The 19,808-nt window shown below is 38.4% G+C and overlaps 1 protein-coding gene across 14 annotated transcripts in view, besides 1 other annotated feature; it reads left to right on the top strand.

Annotated features, from left to right (window-relative positions):
* FAM169A (family with sequence similarity 169 member A) overlaps positions 1 to 19,808 on the top strand; it is an 89,393-nt gene that overhangs the window by 2,042 nt on the left and 67,543 nt on the right. The window lies entirely within an intron of this gene.
* Positions 12,704 to 12,883: an enhancer, noted in NCBI's record as "active region_22676". NCBI's record gives its function as "activates an Ori minimal core promoter by ATAC-STARR-seq in GM12878 lymphoblastoid cells {active_cell/tissue: GM12878}" and the evidence as "EXISTENCE:reporter gene assay evidence [ECO:0000049][PMID:35858748]".

The following is a 19,808-nucleotide window of genomic DNA, read 5'->3' as shown; positions in this document are numbered from 1 at the left end:
AAGATTTTTATTGACTAGTATGGACCAGACTAAAATTTTTAGTGTTTTAGTTTTGCTTGTTTTGGAGGAAAGGCAAGGAATGAGATGGTGAGAGGCACCTGGGAAAAGTCCGTTTATCCTAACACTTGAAGCGCAAACAAAGATAAAACATGATCGTCTTTCACAGAAATCTTGTAGCTATTATAGTGGACTTTTCTCTAAGTTAATGATGGGGATCTGTTTGGGGAACTTAGAAATAGCTTATGTGAGTAGCAACATTGACCTTCCACATGAGTGACCATAAATTAAGGTGTTTTACCTGTGGATTTTAGGTTCTAAAAGGCTTCAAATTAGTCTGACCTTTGAGATAGTATTCATGTCATTACAAGTGGTATTTATTTAATAAAGATGGGATATAGGCCGGGTGCGGTGGCTCACACCTGTTTTCCCAACACTTTGGGAGGCCAGAGCGGGTGGATCACGAGGTCAGGAGTTCAAGACCAGCCTGGCCAACATGGTGAAACCCCGTCTCTACTAAAAATACAAAATTAGCCGGGTGTGGTGGCACATGCCTGTAATCCCAGCTACTCGGGAGGCTGAGGCACAAGAATCACTTGAACCCAGGAGGCAGAGGTTGCGGTGAGCCGAGATCGTGCCCTTGCACTCCAGCCTGGGCAACAACAGTGAAACACCAAGATGGAATATATATCCAACAAAGGATTTTGATTTGGAGAAAACAAAATAATTAAGTGCTTTTGAGGTAAAGTTTCCATGCCATCCTCCTTATTAAATTAAACTATTTATTTTCTGTTTTGTTGAAGACTCTCCCACTAATTTTGTCTTCAAACAAGTGATTACATATTGTGTACCATCCCTGGCAAAAATATCGTGCTTCCCATTATAGATATGTTTATTCTATAGGGAGAATTATGGAGGCGAGAAGAACCTTGGACATTTAGAGATGAGTCTTGGTTTAGGGAATTTAAGTAAGCAAAGATTGCCTGCTAGAGATTGCAGGTGACCTGTCTGGACCTATCCTAGGCCTATGGGGAATGAGATTTTTTTTTTTCTAGCAAATAACAGTGCTGAGTCAAACACAACTCTTAAACTTTTACATTGATTCTGTTATTATACAAGTCAGAGAAGTTCACTGAATTGGTAAGATTGTATTGACTCCAGTTTGGAAGTGATCTTGGTGTGCTTTTGTCTTTGAAGTTGCTTGAGATTTTGAGCATTATTTACCAATGGTTGAGAAATTGAAAAGAAAAATCGAATATTTTTCTCTATTAGCTCCTACCTAAATACTCCGTTTTAAGCCTTAAGCATACTATGTTCAGTCATCTGCCTAAAAATTCAGTAAGATTTACTTTTTAAAGGTAAGTACAACATAAGAGAGTTGAGTATTCATGTAGTGGTTCCCACAATATCTGTCAAGGATTCTGTATAAAGGATTGTTGTTTGGGTAGGAAGTTAAACAAAACTTGTATGTTCCTTCCCCTAAGATTTTATGATTCTAAGTGAAAAAAGGAATTGTGTGATTATTGTATTTAAGACGATAGTCTCTTCACATGCCATTATTTTTTGTATATTTAGCTCTGAAATTTAAGTTCTAAATTTGGTATGCCTCAGTGGTGGTAGGAATATTTCACAATTGTTTCAATGATAACAAGAAAATCACTTAAGGTAGAATTTATTAAGGAAAAGGTGTGATGATTTAAAGATAATAAGGGAAAAACTAATAATTTATCAGAGATATCCTAGAATGCTTATTAGACTCATGGAGTTTTAGAGTTGGTATATGATACCTTAACGTTTACATGCTCTGTATAGGGGACTACTCATCTATGCTAACCTATTTTTTAGGCTAGAAAGTTTGTGACGTACCTAGATTCCTCCCACCCCTGCCTTTTTTTTTTTTTTTTAAATGAATACAGTTTTGGTTACTAGCTGTTCCAATAAGATGCTAGTTTTAGACTAAACAAAGATAGCTTTCATTTATTCCACAAACATTGAGTGTCTGTTGTGTGTTGTAGGTCACAAACAGGCCCTACTGTCACGGAGTCTATAGTTTAGTGAAGTATTGTGGATTACAATGTTAACAATTCCTTAAGGTCTAACTGTACAAAGATTTTTGAAAATACGAGTTGGGAACAAATTTAGCAAATTGCATTTTTAAAAAAGCGCCAAGTTGCATGTTGTCACACTTTATTTGTAACTTCTCAGGTATAGAATTAGTTTAATTTGGAAAATTCATTCCAGTAGTCCTTGTAAGGTGTACTGTTAGGCTGGGTACAAAAACATGAATGTGCAAAGTAATCTAGAAATTCAGTCTTAAAGATGAGACAAACATTAAGCAGATAATTCTGTCCTGTGAGTGAACTGAACAAAGTGATATGGGGCATGCCGAGGAGGGCTGCATTAATTCTGTCTGAGTGACTCTGGAAGGGCTTTACAGAGGCAGTGACAGTTGAACTTGGTCTTGAACAATGGATGAGTGAGAACTTGTCAGAAGCTTTTGGGGATGTGGGATATGACGAGAGACAGTCCCAGCAAATGCTAAAGCATAGAGTTATAACTGGTCCTGTTCTGAAAACAGGGAAGTCAGTTGATCTGGCCCAGGTCCCATGGTGGGTTGGGGCCTGATTGTGAATGGATGTGTATGAGTTTTGCTCCATGGTGATGGGGAACCAATAATGGGTTTTCAAAGGAAGGAATGAACAGAATGGGGTTCTCTCTCTCTTTTTAGGAAGAGCATTCCAATAGCAGTTTAAACGCTGGATTGGAGTGGAGAAAAGATACGAGCTTTTATGATAATCTTGGCAAAGCCTTGAAGCAAAGCTGTGGCTATGGAGGTGACAGAGGAGGGGCTAGAGTTGAGACACATCTGCTGCAGTAGAAAGGCAGTATTTGAGGTGGAAAGAGATGTGCTTTGGTGTCACACAGACTGGATTTAAGTCAGGGCACCAGGGCTCTGTTGCCATGGTTGTATAAATGAGGGATAGTTACTTAGGCTTGGCCTCTTTAGCTATAAAATGAGTATGAGACATGCCTTGCAAGCTTATTGAAATGACTAGAAGTAGTATATAAAGCTCATTGGCTGACGTGCATAATGATAATATCACCCAATTTTGTTAATGATATCAATGAAGAGTTGTGTTAAGGGAAAGGATGACTTCAATAAGTTTTAGCATACAACTGGGTAGGTGGTTGCTTTGTTAACATACAATGTGAGGAGAGGAAGAAGAGAGGATTGTAGAGGGAGAGAAGTTAACTTTTTTTTTTGGCTCACTGCAGCTTCTGCCTTCTAGGTTCAAGTGATTCTCCTTCCTCAGCTTCCCTAGTAGCTGGGATTACAGGTGCCCATCAGCACGCCTGGCTGATTTTTGTATTTTTAGTAGAAATGGGGTTTTACCAGGCTGGTCTTGAACTCCTGACTTCAAGCGATCTGCCTGTCTTGGTCTCCCAAAGTGCTGGGAGCCACTATGTCTGGTCAACTTTGGATATACGTTATTTAGTTTTGGGTTTCCTGAGGGAGAATCCAGGTAGAGGTATTGCGTGAACTGTTGCAAATATGAATCAAAGATCTAGGCAGATAATAGAGATTTGGGAGCTACCAGTGTATATATTTGGTAAATGGAGCCAGTAGACAGGGTAAGATTTCTAAGTAAGAGCAAGTGGAATAACCAAGGCTTATAGTTAGGTGAAATATTATAAGTTAAAATGTTAAAAGGTTCCTTGAAGTCTAAATGCACACAATTTTTGAAAATACGAATTGGGAACAAATCCATTTATTAGACTGTTTTTATTTTTGAAAAGGAGCCTCACTCTGTCACCCAGGATGGAGTGAGTGGTGCAATCTCAGCTCACCGCAAGGTCAGCCTCTTGGGTTCAAGGGATTCTCCTGTCTCAGCCCCCTGAGTAGCTGGGATTGCAGATGCACGCCGCTATGCCTGGCTAATTTTTGTACTTTTTAGTAGATACGGGGTTTCACCATGTTGGCCAGGCTGGTCTCAAACTCCTGACCTCGTGATCCGCCTGCCTCGACTTCCTAAAGTTCTGGGATTGCAGGCATGAGCCACTGTGTCCGGCCTAGACTTTTTTTTTTTTTTTTTTTTTTTAGTGCTACATTGCATTTGGAGGGATCCCTGCATTTATGGATTGTGCAGAGGAGAGGGGTCAGTTGCTGAAAGAAACTAAGAAGAAGAGAGAGAAGAAGAATATTTCACCTAACTATAAGCCTTGGCTATTCCACTTGCTCTTACTTAGAAATCTTATCCTGTCTAGTGGCTCCATTTACCAAATATATACACTGGTAGCTCCCAAATCTGTATTATTGGCCTAGATCCCTCTCCAGAAAGTCAGATTGTCCTGAGTGTCAAGGAAAGACAGAAACTTTTAAGTGACAGAAGGTGGTCAGTTTGGTGTAGTCTGTCATAAGGTCAAGAGGAGTAAGAATGAAAATAATCAATTGAATTTGGGACTTGGAGGGTTATTGGAGATCTTATGAGTAGGAGTATTAATATAGTGATAAGGACAGAAGCCAATTTAGTAATTCATAGAAGTGGAGAAAAAGTCAGTGAGTTTGACTTATTGTTATGTAATGAAAGATAAAGTACTAAACCATATTAGTAAAGAATTTTGTAGTCTAAAAGCTTTTATACATGTATGCCAGTGCTTTCAAGTTTGGATTGGCTTGTGATATACCTGATTAATTTATTCTGATACTTCCATCAACAGTAGTTACTACTCAGTGCAGATCTACAGTTTAAGCCCATAGGCATAGGTTTGAATCCTGACTTTGCTGTTTCTAGCTGCCTTTTATTAAGATACTGAATCTCTCCTGGCCTCAGTTTCCTCATCTGTAAAAGAGTGGTTATTACAGAATTTATCTCAAAATGTTGTTGACAGAATTACCTCAATGTGATAATGTATTAATGGTGAGCTACTAATATCATTATCAGTGGAATTAGGATAGCTTTTAGTATCTAGTTCAGTGATCCTCATCTTCTTACCTTTTCTCCCTTTTATTATCTCTCTACACCCACCCCATGTACCATGTATGACACTTCGTTGAGGTTCTTTTCTTTTCTAATAGCGATGGGGTCTCGCTTTGTTGCCCAGGCTGGTCTTGATCTCCTGGCCTCAAGCAGTCCTTCTACCTCAGCCTCCCAAAGTGCTGGGATTATAGGCATGAGCTACCATGCTCAGCTGAGGTACATTTCAAAGCAGTTATTTGCTTCCTTATTTAAAAAAAATCGTGATGTATCTATCACTCATCAATCACAGCTTTTGATTTACATGAGATATAGTATAACCACAAGTTGAGTTGATAGAAATGTTAAAAATTAAGAAAACCTTCGCCGGGCGTGGTGGCTCACGCCTGTAATCCCAGCACTATGGGAGGCCAAGGCGGGTGGATCACGAGGTCAGGAGTTTGAGACCAGCCTGACCAACATGGTGAAATCCCGTCTCTACTAAAAATACAAAAATTAGCCAGGCTTGATGGCATGTGCCTGTAATCCCAGCTACTCAGGAGGCTGAGGCAGGAGAATTGCTTGAATCCAGGAGGTGGAGGTTGCAGTGAGCTGAGATTGTGCCACGGCACTCCAGCCTGGGTGACAGAGCAAGACTCTGTCTCAAAAAAAAAAAAAAAAAAAAGAGAAAACCTTCATTTTTTGTTAGTTTGTGTATTAATGTAGGGGAAATGTATGTTTTTTGGTTTTTCTTTTTTTGAGATGGAATCTTGCTCTGTCACCCAGGCTGGAGTGCAATGGCACTGTCTCAGCTCACTGCACCCTCCGCCTCCCGGGTTCAAGCAATTCTCCTGCCTCAGCCTCTTGAGTAGCTGAGACTACAGGCATGTGCTACCATGCCTGGCTAATTTTTTATATTTTTAGTAGAGATGGGTTTTGCCATGTTGGCCAGGCCCATCTTGAACTCCTGATCTCAGGTGATCCACATGCCTTGGCCTCCCAAAGTGTTGGGATTACAGGTGTAAGCCACCATGCACAGCCTTGTTTTGTTTTTAAAAATGGAAAATAATTAATGTTAGCCCCCTCTATAGCTTTTATGGATCCCAAACTAAGAGGCTGTCTTCTAATTTTAGATATGGCATTGTTCTGTATTATTTATACTCATGAGTGGAAAATATAGCTAAATTTAGCAAAAAAGTACCCAAATTTTTTTTTACTTTTTAATTTTTCAACTTTGATTTTAGGTTCGGGAGGACATGTGCAGATTTGTTAAATGGGCGAATTGCGTGTTGCTGGGGTTTGGTGTACAAATGATTTAGTCACTGAGGTAGTGTGCATAGTACCTGATAGGTAGCTTTTTGACCCTTACACTCCTCCCACCCTCTACCTTCAAGTAAGCCCTGGTGTCTGTTGTTCCCCTCATTGTGTCCATGTGTACCCAGTGTTTAGCTCCCATTTGTAAGTGAGAACATGTGGTATTCGGTTTTTCTTACTTTGTTAATTCCTTTAGGATAATAGCCTCCATCTGCATGCATCCATGTTGCTGCAAAGGACACGATGTTTTTGTTTGTTTTTTTGTTTTTTTGAGATGGAGTCTCACACTGTCACCCAGGCTGGAGTGCAGTGGCGTGATCTGGGCTCACTGCAACCTTGGCCTCCCAGCTTCAAGCAATTCTCTTGCCTCAGCCTCCCAAGTAGCTGAGATTACAGGCACCTACCACCACGCCCAGCTAATTTTTTTGCATTTTTAGTAGAGACGGAGTTTCACTATGTTGGTCAGGCTGGTCTCAAACTCCTGATCTCGTGACCTGCCTGCCTTGGCCTCCCAAAGTACTGGGATTATAGGCATGAGCCACCGCGCCTGGCCTTGTTCTTTTTTTTTTTGACTGTAGTATTCCATGAAGTACCCAAATTGTAGACATCTTGATATTTGGCTTTAGAATATAATACATATCTAAAAATACTTGAAATTAATTTCAAACCATGAAAGAGGAAATAGAAGTGATTCTGAATAAATTTTGTTTGGAGAATACTAATTTTTTTGTATCCGAGTAGCATCTATGGATGGAAAAAATGGCATACTGGCTTGGATAGACCCAAGGGAAGTTCTTGTGCCTGTGACAGTACTTACAATGGGCAGAGAGAAGTTTCTCCTGTCTCTAGTTGGAAACATACCAACTGTAACTAACAGTATTCTTTGACTAGTTTGTTGGCTGGTCATGTTTTCATGCACTGTAATTAATTCATTTTTGGGTAGAATTTATTGTTGGAAAGTCTCAGTTCTTTTACCCTTTAAAGATATACAGAATAAGTCTAAACTTCTAAACTTTTCATCAGCATATTGTTTCTTCAAATATTTTAAGGGAAGTTTTTTTTTTTTTTTTTTTTTTTTTTTTTTTTCCCGCGGCAAGGTCTGGCTCTGTCACCCAGACTGGAGTGCAGTGGTGCAGTCTAGTCTTGACTCACTGCAGCCTCTACCTCCCTGCAACCTCTGCCTCCCGGACTCAAGCCATTCTCCCTCAGCCCCCTGAGTAGCTGGGACTACAGGTGCGTACCACCATGGCCTGTAATTTTTTGTATTTTTTGTAGAGACGGGGTTTTGCCGTGTTGCCCAGGCTGGTCTTGAACTTGTGAGTTCATTGGCTCTGCCCACCTTGGCCTCCCAAAGTGCTAGGATTACAGGTGTGAGCCACCATGCCCAGCCAAGGGTAGCTTTCTTGCTTCCCTTCCCCAGTGAGAATTATTTCTCCCAATTTCAGTTCCTTATCTGGTGTACCATGGTTTCAAGATCCTTTGCCCTCTTGGCCTTCTCCGTTGGAGGCATTCCAGTTTTGCAGTGTGATTTTTTTTTTTTTTTTTTTTTTGAGGTGGAGTCTCACTCTGTGGCCCAGGCTGGAGTGCAGTGGTGCTATCTCGGCTCACTGCAACCTCCGGCTCCGGGATTCACACCATTCTCCTGCCTCAGCCTCCCGAGTGGCTGGGACTACAGGCGCCCACCACCACACCAGGCTAATTTTTTGTATTTTTAGTAGAGATGGGGTTTCACCGTGTTAGTCAGGATGGTCTCGATCTCCTGACCCTGTGATCTGCCCACCTCGGCCTCCAAAAGCACTGGGATTACAGGCGTGAGCCACTGCACCTGGCCTTTTTTTTTTTTTTCTTAAAATGTGCCCCTTGGAAGGGAATAAAACACTGCAGATACTGTCTGATCCATGAAAAATGTAGGGATGTTTTTCCCTCCCTAGATGGAAAATTTATTTAATCTTAAAAAAAACCTTGGTTATGGTTCATATTTAATCTAGTATCATCTAAATCTCAAGGTCTTCTTTTTTGTCTCTGTCCTTCAGCAATGGATGATTAAAAAACTATAGTGCAATGTAGTGTATTTTATTTTTCCCCTAGCTCTATTTTGGAGTAACTCATTAAATAAATATTTGTCCAAACAAAATACCTAGGAATAAACTTAACCAAGGAAGTAAAAGATGTCTGCAATGAAAACTATAAAACATTGATGCAAGAAATTGAAGAGTACATAAAAAATGGAAAGATATTTCATGTCCATATATTGGAAGAATCAATATTGTCAACATGTTCATATTACCTAAAGCAATCTACAGATTCAATGCAATTTCTATTAAAATACCAATGACATTCTTCACAGAAATAGAAAAAAAAATCCTAAAATGTATATGGAACCACAAAAGACCCCAGAATAGCCAAAGCTATCCTGAGTAAAAAGAACACAACTGGAGAAATCACATTATCTGACCTCAGATTATACTACAGAGCTGTAATAATCAAAACAGCATGGTACCAGCGTAAAAACAGACACATAGACCAATGGAACAGAGTAGAGAACCCAGAAATAAATCTGCGCATCTACAGTGAACTCATTTTTGACAAAGGTAACATGAACATACACTGGGGAAAGGAAAATCTCTTTAATAAATGGTGCTGGGAATACTGGATATCCATACGCAGAAGAATGAAACTAGACCTGTATCTCTTGCCATATACAAAAACCAAATCAAAATGGATTAAAAACTGAAATCTAAGACCTCAGACTATGAAACCATTAACATAAAACATTGGGAAAACTCTCCAGGGCATAGGCGTGGGCAAAGATTGCATGAGCAATACCCCACAAGACAGGCAATCAAAGCAGAAATGGATAAGTGGGATCATGTCAAGTTAAAAAGCTTCTGCATAGCAAAGGAAACAACAAAGTGAAGAGACAACCCACAGAATGGGAGAAAATATCTGCAAACTGTCTATCTGACAAGGAATTAATAACCAGAATATATAAGGAACTCAGACAACTCAATAGTTGAAAACATGTAATAATCTGATTAAAAAATGAGCCAAAGATCTGAGTAGATATTTCCTAAAAAAAGACATACAAACGGCAAACTGGTATATGAAAAGGTACTCAACATCATTGATCATCAGCAGAATGGAAATCAAAACTACAATAAGGCCAGGCACGGTGGCTTATGCCTATAATCCCAGCGCTTTGGGTGGCCAAGGTGGGCAGATTGCTCGAGCTCAGGAATTCGAGACCAGCCTGGGCAACATGGTGAAAACCCATCTCTACAAAAAATACCAAAAAATTAGCTGAACATGGTGGTGCATACCTGTCGTCCCAGCTACTGGGGAGGCTGAGGTGGGAGGATCTCTTGAGCCTAGGAGATGGAGGCTGCAGTGAGCTGGGATTGTGCCACCGCATTCCAGCCTGGACAACAGAGCAGACCCTGTCTGAAAAACAAAAGCAAAAGCCAACAAAAAACAAACTACAGTGAGATATCATCTCACCCTAGTTAAAATGGCTTTCATCCAAAAGACAGGCAGTAACGAATGCTGGTGAGGATGTGGAGAAAATTGAACCCTCATACACTGTTGGTGGGAATGTAAATTAGTATAACCACTATGGAGAACAGTTTAAAGGTTCCTCACAATTTAGAAATAGAGCTACCATATAATCCAGCAATCCCACTGCTTGGTATATACCCAAAAGAAAGAAAGAAATCAGTATATCAAAGAGATTTCTGCACTCCCGTGTTTATTGCAGCACTATTCATAATAGCTAAGATTTGAAAGCAACGTGAGTGTCAATCATCGAATGAATGGATAAAGAAAATATGGTACATATGCACAATGGAGTAGTATTCAGACATAAAAAGGAATGAGATCCTATTATTTGCAACAACATGGATGGAACTTGAGATCATTATGTTAAGTAAAATAAGCCAGACACAGAAAGACGAACTTTGCATGCTCTCATTTATGGGAGCTAAAACAATTAGAACAATTAAATTCATGGAGATAGAGAGTAGAGTGATGGTCACCAGAGGCTGGGGAGGGTAGTGGGTGGTGGGAGGAAGTGAGTCTGGTCAGTGGGTACAAAAACATAGTTAGATTGAATGAAGAAGATCTAGCACTTGACAGCTCAACAGTGTGATGATAGTCAACAATGTATTCTACATTTAAAAATAACAAAGTGTGATTGGGTTGTTTGTAACACAAAGGATAAATGCCTCAGGTGATGGATGTGATTATTATTATTATTATTATTATTTTTGAGATGGAGTCTCGCTGTGTCACCCAGGCTGGAGTGCAGTGGTGCAGTCTTGGCTCACTGCAACCTCCACCTCCTAGGTTCAAGCAGTTCTCCTGCCTCAGCCTCTTGAGTAGTTAAGACTACAGGCATCCGCCACCATACCTGGCTAATTTTTTGTATTTTTAGTAGAGATGAGGTTTCACCATGTTAGCCAAGCTGGTTTTGAACTCCTAACCTCAGGTGATCTGCCCATCTTGGCCTCCCAAAGTGCTGGGATTACAGGTGTGAGCCACTGCGCCTGACCTATATATGATTATTTACCCTGGTGTGATTATTATGCATTGTTTCCTGGATTGAAATATCTCATGTATCCCATAAATATATACACTGCTAGGTACCCACAAAAATTAAAAATAAAAGATATATTGGGTAGGCATTTTACTTCATCAGTTTTTATGTTTCTTTTTTTTTTTAACTTCAGCTTTAAAACACTTGGCTTCATTTTTATTGTGTAGTAACCATTTAAAAATTCTGAAGAAGATTAGCCGGGTGTGGTGGCAGGTGCCTGTAGTCCTAGCTACTCGGGAGGCTGAGGCAGGAGAATGGCGTGAACCCGGGAGGCGGAGCTTGCAGTGAGCCGAGATGGCGCCACTGCACTGCAGCCTGGGCAGCAGAGCAAGACTCTGTCTCAAAAAAAAAAAAAAAAAAAAAAAATTCTGAAGATGGGTCACAGTGATTAGATATAGAAAGTCCGAAGAAACTATATTGCAAGGTTTGAAAACACTTAACTCCTAAGCAGAGACTGAATAATCTGGTTGTTACATTCTTTAATTTTATTACACTTAGATACATCATGGATTATGTTGGCCTGTTGTCTTGACCTTTAAACCTGGCCACCAGGTTAAACCCCTCTGGAGACAGATTGCCTAGGCTCAGAGCTGGACTTGGCCACTTCCTAACTGTGTGAACTTGGACAGCTTACTTAACCTCTCCACATCTGAGGCTCCTCATTCAGAAAGGGTGTATAGGAATACCTGATTCATAGGATCATTTCGAGGAATGAGATGTGTAGAGTGTTTCAACACAATGCGAGGTGCAAGATAAGCAATCAGTAAATGGTGGTTCTCTTGTTATTATCATCAGAAAATACATTCTGAGTTTAAAAAAAGATTGTAAATGACATTTTGAGGTTATTATCCTTTTGTAAATTAAGACCTTTCTTCCTAGCTTCCATCTCCAGCTAAGCTATAAGTGCTTGGAAGGAAAGTAATCCATTGTAGACCTGTATGTTATTAATGAGAAGGGCTATCAGTGATCATTTGGCTCATCCTCACTTTTTACATGTGCTGAAAAAGTAGATTCTTTCTCTCTGGAGGTCTGAGCCTGGTAGGAGAGACAGATGAAGAAAAATGAACCACATTATTATGTATTATGTATTGTTATGTGATAAGTATATTAAAAGATTTATGCACAAGGTACTTACCATAGCAGCACCTCAACTTGTCTCCCTTCAGTTCTTCCTACCAATCCAACCTATATGTAGCTGTCAGGTAATTTGTCTTAAAGAATAGCCTTGAATGTCTCTTCCCTGCCCAAGGTCCCTTAATGGCCTGCTGCTTGTATACCAAGTGAAGTCTAAATTCTTTAATCTGGGATTCTTGGCCTGCTATGTTCTGTCCTTAATTTATTTTCCTAGTACTTCCACCACCATTTGCCGTTATATACCTTAACTCTCTTGGTAAATCCAACTACTTGCCGTTCTCGGTGTACTTTCAGTCATCCATTCAGCATATTCTTTTTGAGGGTCTTCCCCACTATCTGCCTCTTGAAAGGACATCTGTTACTTTTTATCTAGCAGCATGTTCTTGTTCATCTGTGGCAGCTCTTCCTCCTAGCACCAGTGTTTGGTTTATTTATACAAACTTTTATTCAGTCATTCATTTATTTAGTAAATATGCTTTGAAGTTAGATAAGACTACTGTCTCTTGTACCTTCTTCCCATGGGCCTGCTGCCAATGAGAGGTAAGAATTGTACTGAATCTGGGTAAATAAGCCCACCTGAGTTTGCAAGAGAGTAGCACAAGCAGGTTAATGAGGCCATAGCTCCAAGTGCAGAGTTGGAGAGGCCCAAAAGCACAGAATTGGAGAGCCTGTGGTTCAGGGGCTGCCATTTTTCCAAATTGCTGAGATACTCTGCTATATAATGGCAGCCCATGGTTATATTTCTTAGTTGTCTAGTGAAAATACTAGGGAGTTTGGTCGGGTAGTGATGGGGATTGTGACTCAGCAGAATATTTCGCAAATGGTATGCCAAAATTAAGTGCCAAGTTTTGGTTTCTTTTTGCTTTTGTTGTGAGTTAGACATGTTTCCTTTAAAATGAAAACATCAGTCTTCATTGTTCTAAATGAGACAAATCTCTGTGATATTTTATGTTAAAAATATCTACAACAGTGAACATATAGTTAGACTCGTGTTTTTAAAAATTGGTTGTATCCTGGAGGTTTACTATGTCCAATCCCTGTTAACTTTACTAAAGTCCCTGTATAGTCAGATACGTGGTAGAGAAGCCAGGTATAATGTAAGAAATTTTATATTGTCAGTGTTGAAATGGACACAATTTTATGATTTATTAATTTAAGTGCTTATTTTTTCTTTCCTGAGCTTTGTACACTGCTGATTTATAAAGAGTATTTAGTAGTCTGGGTTGTGAAGTACCAGAGTTGCTGACATATTCCACAGGCAAATGTATTACTTTACTGTACTACAGTATGTAGTAGGATCATGTGGAAGCTTCAATTACAAGCCCATTTCTATTTCTTTCTCTCTTAAATATCTATTAATTTATTGTTAGGCTTTTGCAAATGTTTCGAGGCAAGTAAGTAGCATTCTCTATTTCCTGTTCATAGAATATAGATATTAAGATAATGATTTATCATCCATTCCTGGGTGTGGTAATTCAGTATGTATTTTGTGTTCCAACTGTTGAGCACCTTTGAAATAACTTTATGAGTTTCATTTCAGCCTTATGAGTCCTGCTTTGGCTCCCCAGGGTGGAACACTAAAAATTGATATTTTGTCTCCCTTGGAATTAGGATGGAGGCATGTAACCCAAATTTTGCCTATCACAAGATAGGCCGTATCCAAGAGAGACTGCACTACGAAGTGAGCTACTGGAGGAAGGAGGCCCTAAGGGGAATTGACTTTCTTCTCTTGTGTTTCCTGCCTTGGGGCCCTCTCTCTTCTTCCTTCACCTTACCAGGAGTAATTACTGTTAACACTATAATGTATCCTTCCAGACTTTGCTGTACAGACATATTAATCTTTTAAAAAACTTAGCTGGGTGTGGTGGCATGTGCCTGTATTCTTAGCCATTCAGGAGGCTGATGTACGAGGATTGTTGAGCCCAGAAGTTTGAGGCTATAGTGAGCTATGTTCGTGCCACTGCACTCCAGCCTGGGTGACAGAGTGAGATTCTGTCTCTAACAACAAACAAAAACAAAGCAAAAAACTAATGCAAGTAGGCATTTTTTCAAAAAAAGAAGTGGTTTGTTTTTCCTGTTTTATGAATTTTCTATTCATGACCTTTGCTTATTTATTTGCATCTTAGCTTTTAAAAAAAACACTGCATTATTCATCTGTATTAAGGTATTAGATTGTATAAGTCATACTGGTTATAATTTGCCTCTGAGTTTTTTCTTTTTAGATGCAAAAGTTTTGATTGATTTCTAGTTATTAGTTGCAGCAGTTTATTCCTTTCTCAACCAGAAGGAATTTTCCTCTATGTGTTCTGTATGTTCAGGTAATTTGCCCATGGTTACATAGCTAGTAATCCTGTTAGTTTGGCTCAAGAATACACTCCCTTAACCAGTATTTTATACCAGCTTTCACACACTCTCAAAATCCTTTGCAATATAGCTGGATTTTGCTTTTGAAGGCCTAAAACATACCAAATACGCAGTATCTTCATGCTTAAATGATTTCTTATCTAGGAGTATTTTCCTGTACATGAAGAGAGAATTAAACCTTGAGTTGGAAAGAATACTTGGAACACTTCCCCTGACATATATTAAGCAATCTTTAACCGTATTAGGGCTGCCTGAGATGCTGTGCTTTCAGACATACCAATGTGATGGAAAAAAACAGACATCGGAGTCCGACTGCCGGGTTCAAATACTAGCTCTGCTGCTTACTAGTAGTGTGGCCTTGAACAAGTTACTCAGCCACTTTGTGTCTTTGTTTCCTTTTCGGCCAAGTGAAGAGAATTAAAACACCCACCTCATGGGTTTTAGATAAAAGTTACATCAGGTGATACACGTGAAGTGTTCGGAATAGAACCTGGCACATAGTCCACTATCGGATTAGTGGTTATAACTTCAAAAGATGGTTTTGCTTCCTGCTTGAAATAAGGAGAGCCAACAGATATGAATCCCATTCAACTTCCTGCTCTATTACCTAATTTATAGGCCGTCCTAACCCATACATAATTAAATGTTTTTACTTTCCCAGAAAACAGAAAAGGATTGCTGAACAGTGTTGAGGCCCATCTGAGATTTTGATAGTTGTAGCAGTTATTTTGTCATATTCAAAAACTCGGCTCTCATAGTAGAAAAAGATGAGTGGTTAGAGGAATCTAGCGTTTAGGACCTTGTGTAGGGCAGGAGTGATGGAAGAAAAAGTAAGGTAAAGGGATTAGTTGAGCTGATGTAGTACAGGGCCCAGGTTAATTAGGGAAGGAAATGATGTTAGAAAACAGAAAAGGGAGGGATCAAGAGAGGAATCATAATAAGGTTCAGAAATAAGGTTGAGAGCATTGCTGATTATGTTGCCTGGATACCTAACCTATTCTCGGTGTTGGAGAGACCATTGTGAGAGTTAGGATCATGAATTGGATTGGTTGAGATAATTATTTTTTTCCCTGAGAATTCTTTCAGCTCTATAGTGTACATACTTCTTTTTGGGTCTGCCTCTCTCCACAAAGCCCCCAAATAATAGCAGTAACCTGTAAGAATCATGAAATAACTTACGAGCTGAACATGTAGAATATGTTCCCATCTTTTCAGAATATAGTTGGCATCCAGTAATCAACAATAAATAGGGAAAAAATCACAATAATATAAATTTGTTTTCTAACTCTTTTCATGCTTTTCTTAAGGTTATCCATTCTGTCAAATACATAATTTTTTTGGGAAAAAGGAATTATTAAAAGGTAGATACAATATAGCAGATGCTCATGATCTTAGATCTCTTATATAAGAGGTCTTGGTATTATGTTTTTATACAGCTTACCCTGGATTAATGAGCATACCATTCGCTTAATTTGTAAATTAGTTTGGACACTTTTTACACTTCGCTGTCCATTCTGTGTCAGTTTTTTGATGAGTTCACTTAAGGCTACATTAAGCTTTCTCATTCATGTAGAATCTAGTTAGGCCTTTTGGTTTATCTCATGGACAGAGCATAAAGTACTTGACAGAATTTGATCTGACAGCTTTACAGTTACATAACATAGAACAGAAGCTTAAAAACAACAAAAAAGAGAGAGAAGCAAGGGATTTATCATAGCAACCTATATTTCTCTCTGGAACTTTACCACCCTTCCGCTGCCTCTCTAAACTATAGTAGCAGAACCACTGTTAGGCTTGCAATTTACATAGTCTTAAATTAACCAAGACTCAAAAACAAACAAAAAAAACAATTCCAAGCATTTAGAGGTGAAAAGGTCTTTAGGATTATCCTGTCCAGTTGCATCACGTTACCAATGAGAGTACAGAAGCCTAAAGAGGGTAAGTAACTTGCCTATGGTCATAAAGCTAGTTAGCGGCAGAGCTGACCCCAGAGCCAAGGTCACAGAATTCCATTTCTAGTGCTCTTTCTCGTGTAATATGTGAATAGAATATTTAATAATATAATCGTTATATTTTACAAAAGAAAATGTTATGTAACCATGACAAATACTATATTTGATTTTGCATATTTAATAAAAATAATTATATTTAAAAGTATATCTGATTGCCTAGGTTCATATTTCTCTAGTCTTACTAGTGGTATGATGTTAGTCAAGTCTCTTGAACTCCAAAACTGTTTCTTCATCTATCAAATGGGGCAGATAGGAGTTCCTTGTTATATAGTAAATGTGACAGTCTCTCTAAAGCCTGATAAAGGGATATTTCTCAATAAATGTTACCTGCTGCTGTTACTGATTTATAATAATAATTTCTAATTCTTTCATCTTCCTTTAAATTCGAATAAAATTTAGCACTGAGAATGACTGGAAACAAAAGTAATGGATTTCAGAACAGATTTGCAAACATAAAAATATTTTAGAAGAGAGGTATAGGTGTGTGTGTGTCTGGGCCTTTGGAATTAGGGAAGTATTTTCCAGTTTTTTTCATATTAAAAGCTATGATGGATACAGTTGTTTTTAAACCGTGTTCAGAAATCACAACATTTAACTAAGGGGTTTCTCCCCTGGTGCTCTTCTGTATGCAAATTTGAGGTTATCTAAATTGTCAGACTCTGGGACACAGGGTTGTTTTGTATTTAAGTAACATTTTGTATATGAAAAAAATCTTTGACAGTAATAAAAATAAGCCGAGAAGTCATTTTTTCTGTTAAAAAACCTTACTTGAAAAAGAGAATGAAGAATCACTAATTTCTGTTTTCACACTTTAGTGATATTCTACTTGCCTTTGATCTGTAGTAGTGTGTTTTTGTATAGTGCTGTGTTTTCTAATGTGCTGACATACTACTGGCGATTTGGTAGATATTTTTAGATTATATTCAGGTGAACATTTAAATTATAGGAAATTTAATGCTGATTAGGAAAATGTATAATCTAATATACCAAATTGGTGGTTTCATAGGTCTTAATATTTTTCCCTTTATTGTTGTACCCACATGCAAGTCTTAATAGTTTAGGGTTAATAAAATGTTTCTAAAAAAATGAGTTGAGATTCTGATACATGCTACAACGTGGATGAACTTTGTGACCATTATGTACAGTGACATAAACGTGACACAAAAGGACAGTTATTCTATAATTTCACTTAAAATGTTCCTAGAATAGTCCAATTCGTAGACAGGAAGTAAAATAGAGGTTACCAGGGGGTGGTGGGGGGAAGGAATGGACAGTTAATGTTTAATGGGTACAGACCATGTTTGGGGTGATGAAAAAGTTCTGGAAATGGATAGTGGTGCTGGTTGCACAACATTGTGAGTATACGGAACTGTATACTTAAAAATGGTTAAAATGGTAAATTTTGTTATGTATATTTTACCACAATTATAAAAGGGGAGCAGGGATGGGATGAGAAGAATGCGTTTTGGTTTTTTGTTATTTTAAGTGAATTGAGAAAAATATTATATAGTGATACCGGCACTTGACACTCAGAAAAATGTTGATGGTGGTATGCAAATTACTGAGGTTTGGACAACACTGGGATAGAGGAAAGATCAGTGGACTTAGGGACACCTGTCCTGTGTTCCAGTCTCACCCCTGCCATGACGTAGTAGGGTGGGCCTGTATACCACTCTTATCTAAAGCCTCTTAGGACCACGCACAGTGGCTAACACCTGTAATCACATAATCACACTGGAGGCTGAGACGGAAGGATTGCTTGAACCCAGGAGTTTGAGACCAGCCTGGGCAACCTGGGGAGACCTCATCTCTATAAAAAATACAGACTAGCTGGGTGCGATAGTGTGTACTTGTGGTCTTAGCTACTTGGGAGGCTGAGGCCAAGACTTCTAAGACTGTTTGCTACCCTAAAGTTCTGTGATTCTGTGTTATGACTTTGGATTCTTTATTTAGATGACCTATTGCTTATTTAATAGAATTTTCTCCTTTTCAGTGATCAATCTAAAATAACGTGCGTATTTAGAATTTTAAATATGAAATTAGCATTTAAAATCTTCTAAGAACCATAGTATCATAGTAACAGTAAGTGAAAAAGAAATCACTTGTGAACTTGAACTTGCTGTTCTATCAAACTCTTATGTCCATTTTGTATTCTTTATGCTGCCATATTATTTTTATGTGGTTGTGATTATGCTTTTATAGACAGAGTTTCTGGCAGCAGTCTTCAAATACAAATTTGCATTTCATTCTTTAGATTACAATTGCTCTTAGTAAATGAAAATTTAAATGTGTTTCATCCATACTTTGTTTTGGTAGCTAATATTCAAGTGAATCTTTTGAATTGATTTAAGGAGAATACTATGACATTAATCCTTGAGCCTCATCTAGCCAATGATATGGTATAATAAATGTCTTAGTGCTTTACTTGTATGTATGAGTCTTTGATACAATTTGGATATTTGATATTAGGAGTCTTGTCCATAAGAGAAGAAAAACAGTTATTACGTTCTGTTTTCCTAGTCATACTACTTCTATCCACTATTGACCATTTGTTTCGTGTTTATAATTTCATCTACAATTTTAATCTTCATTGGAATTGTTAGATCTGACTATAGAACATAATGTTATATTTCCTTAGTTTGCTTTTACATATAGAATTTGATAGAAATACAAAGATTTGCCCAAGCTAACAAAGAAGCTTCCTTCACAATAGAGCTACTGTTTTATTTTGTGATCCTTTTCTACCTATAACATCTTACTTGCATAAGCTCCTGGTTGATCTCTCTTGAAATTCATAGGCTTTTGAAAAGTTGGCTGCAAATCTTGTGGTATTACTCCCAAATCATTTCACAAGTTTTTCTTACCTTCTCTTTAATTTAGACATTTACATTTACTAACAGTTGAAATGAATTTGTGCTTTCTGTTTTTAAGTTTTGATTTTTAAAAATCAATTTGATGTAGAAATGTACATATTTATATAAAATTAGGCTCCCAACCATATGTACATCAAGTTTTATTTATTTATTTATTTGTATTTTTTGAGACAGAGTCTCGCTCTGTCACCCAGGCTGGAGTGCAGTGGCACAATCTCGGCTCACTGCAACCTCCACCTCACAGGTTCAAGCAATTCTCCTGCCTCAGCCTCTTGAGTAGCTGGGACTACAGACACGCACTACCACGCCCGGCTAATTTTTTGTGTTTTTAGTAGAGATGGGGTTTCACTGTGTTAGCCAGGATGGTCTCGATCTCCTGACCTCATGATCCAACCACCTCAGCCTCCCAAAGTGCTGGGATTACAGGCGTGAACCACCGCACCCGGCATGTACATGAAGTTTTAAAGTCCTTAGGACTTAACTTTCAGATTAGGGTAAAAATAGTTCCTCTTATCATCATCATATCTTGAAAATTCAGAAAAACATACTCAGTTATTAACTGTTACAG

Source organism: Homo sapiens, chromosome 5 (genome assembly GCF_000001405.40).
Source record: "Homo sapiens chromosome 5, GRCh38.p14 Primary Assembly".
Taxonomy (NCBI): domain Eukaryota; kingdom Metazoa; phylum Chordata; class Mammalia; order Primates; family Hominidae; genus Homo; species Homo sapiens.
Note: the sequence above shows the minus strand (reverse complement) of the source record. Positions and strands in the feature narration are given on the sequence as shown.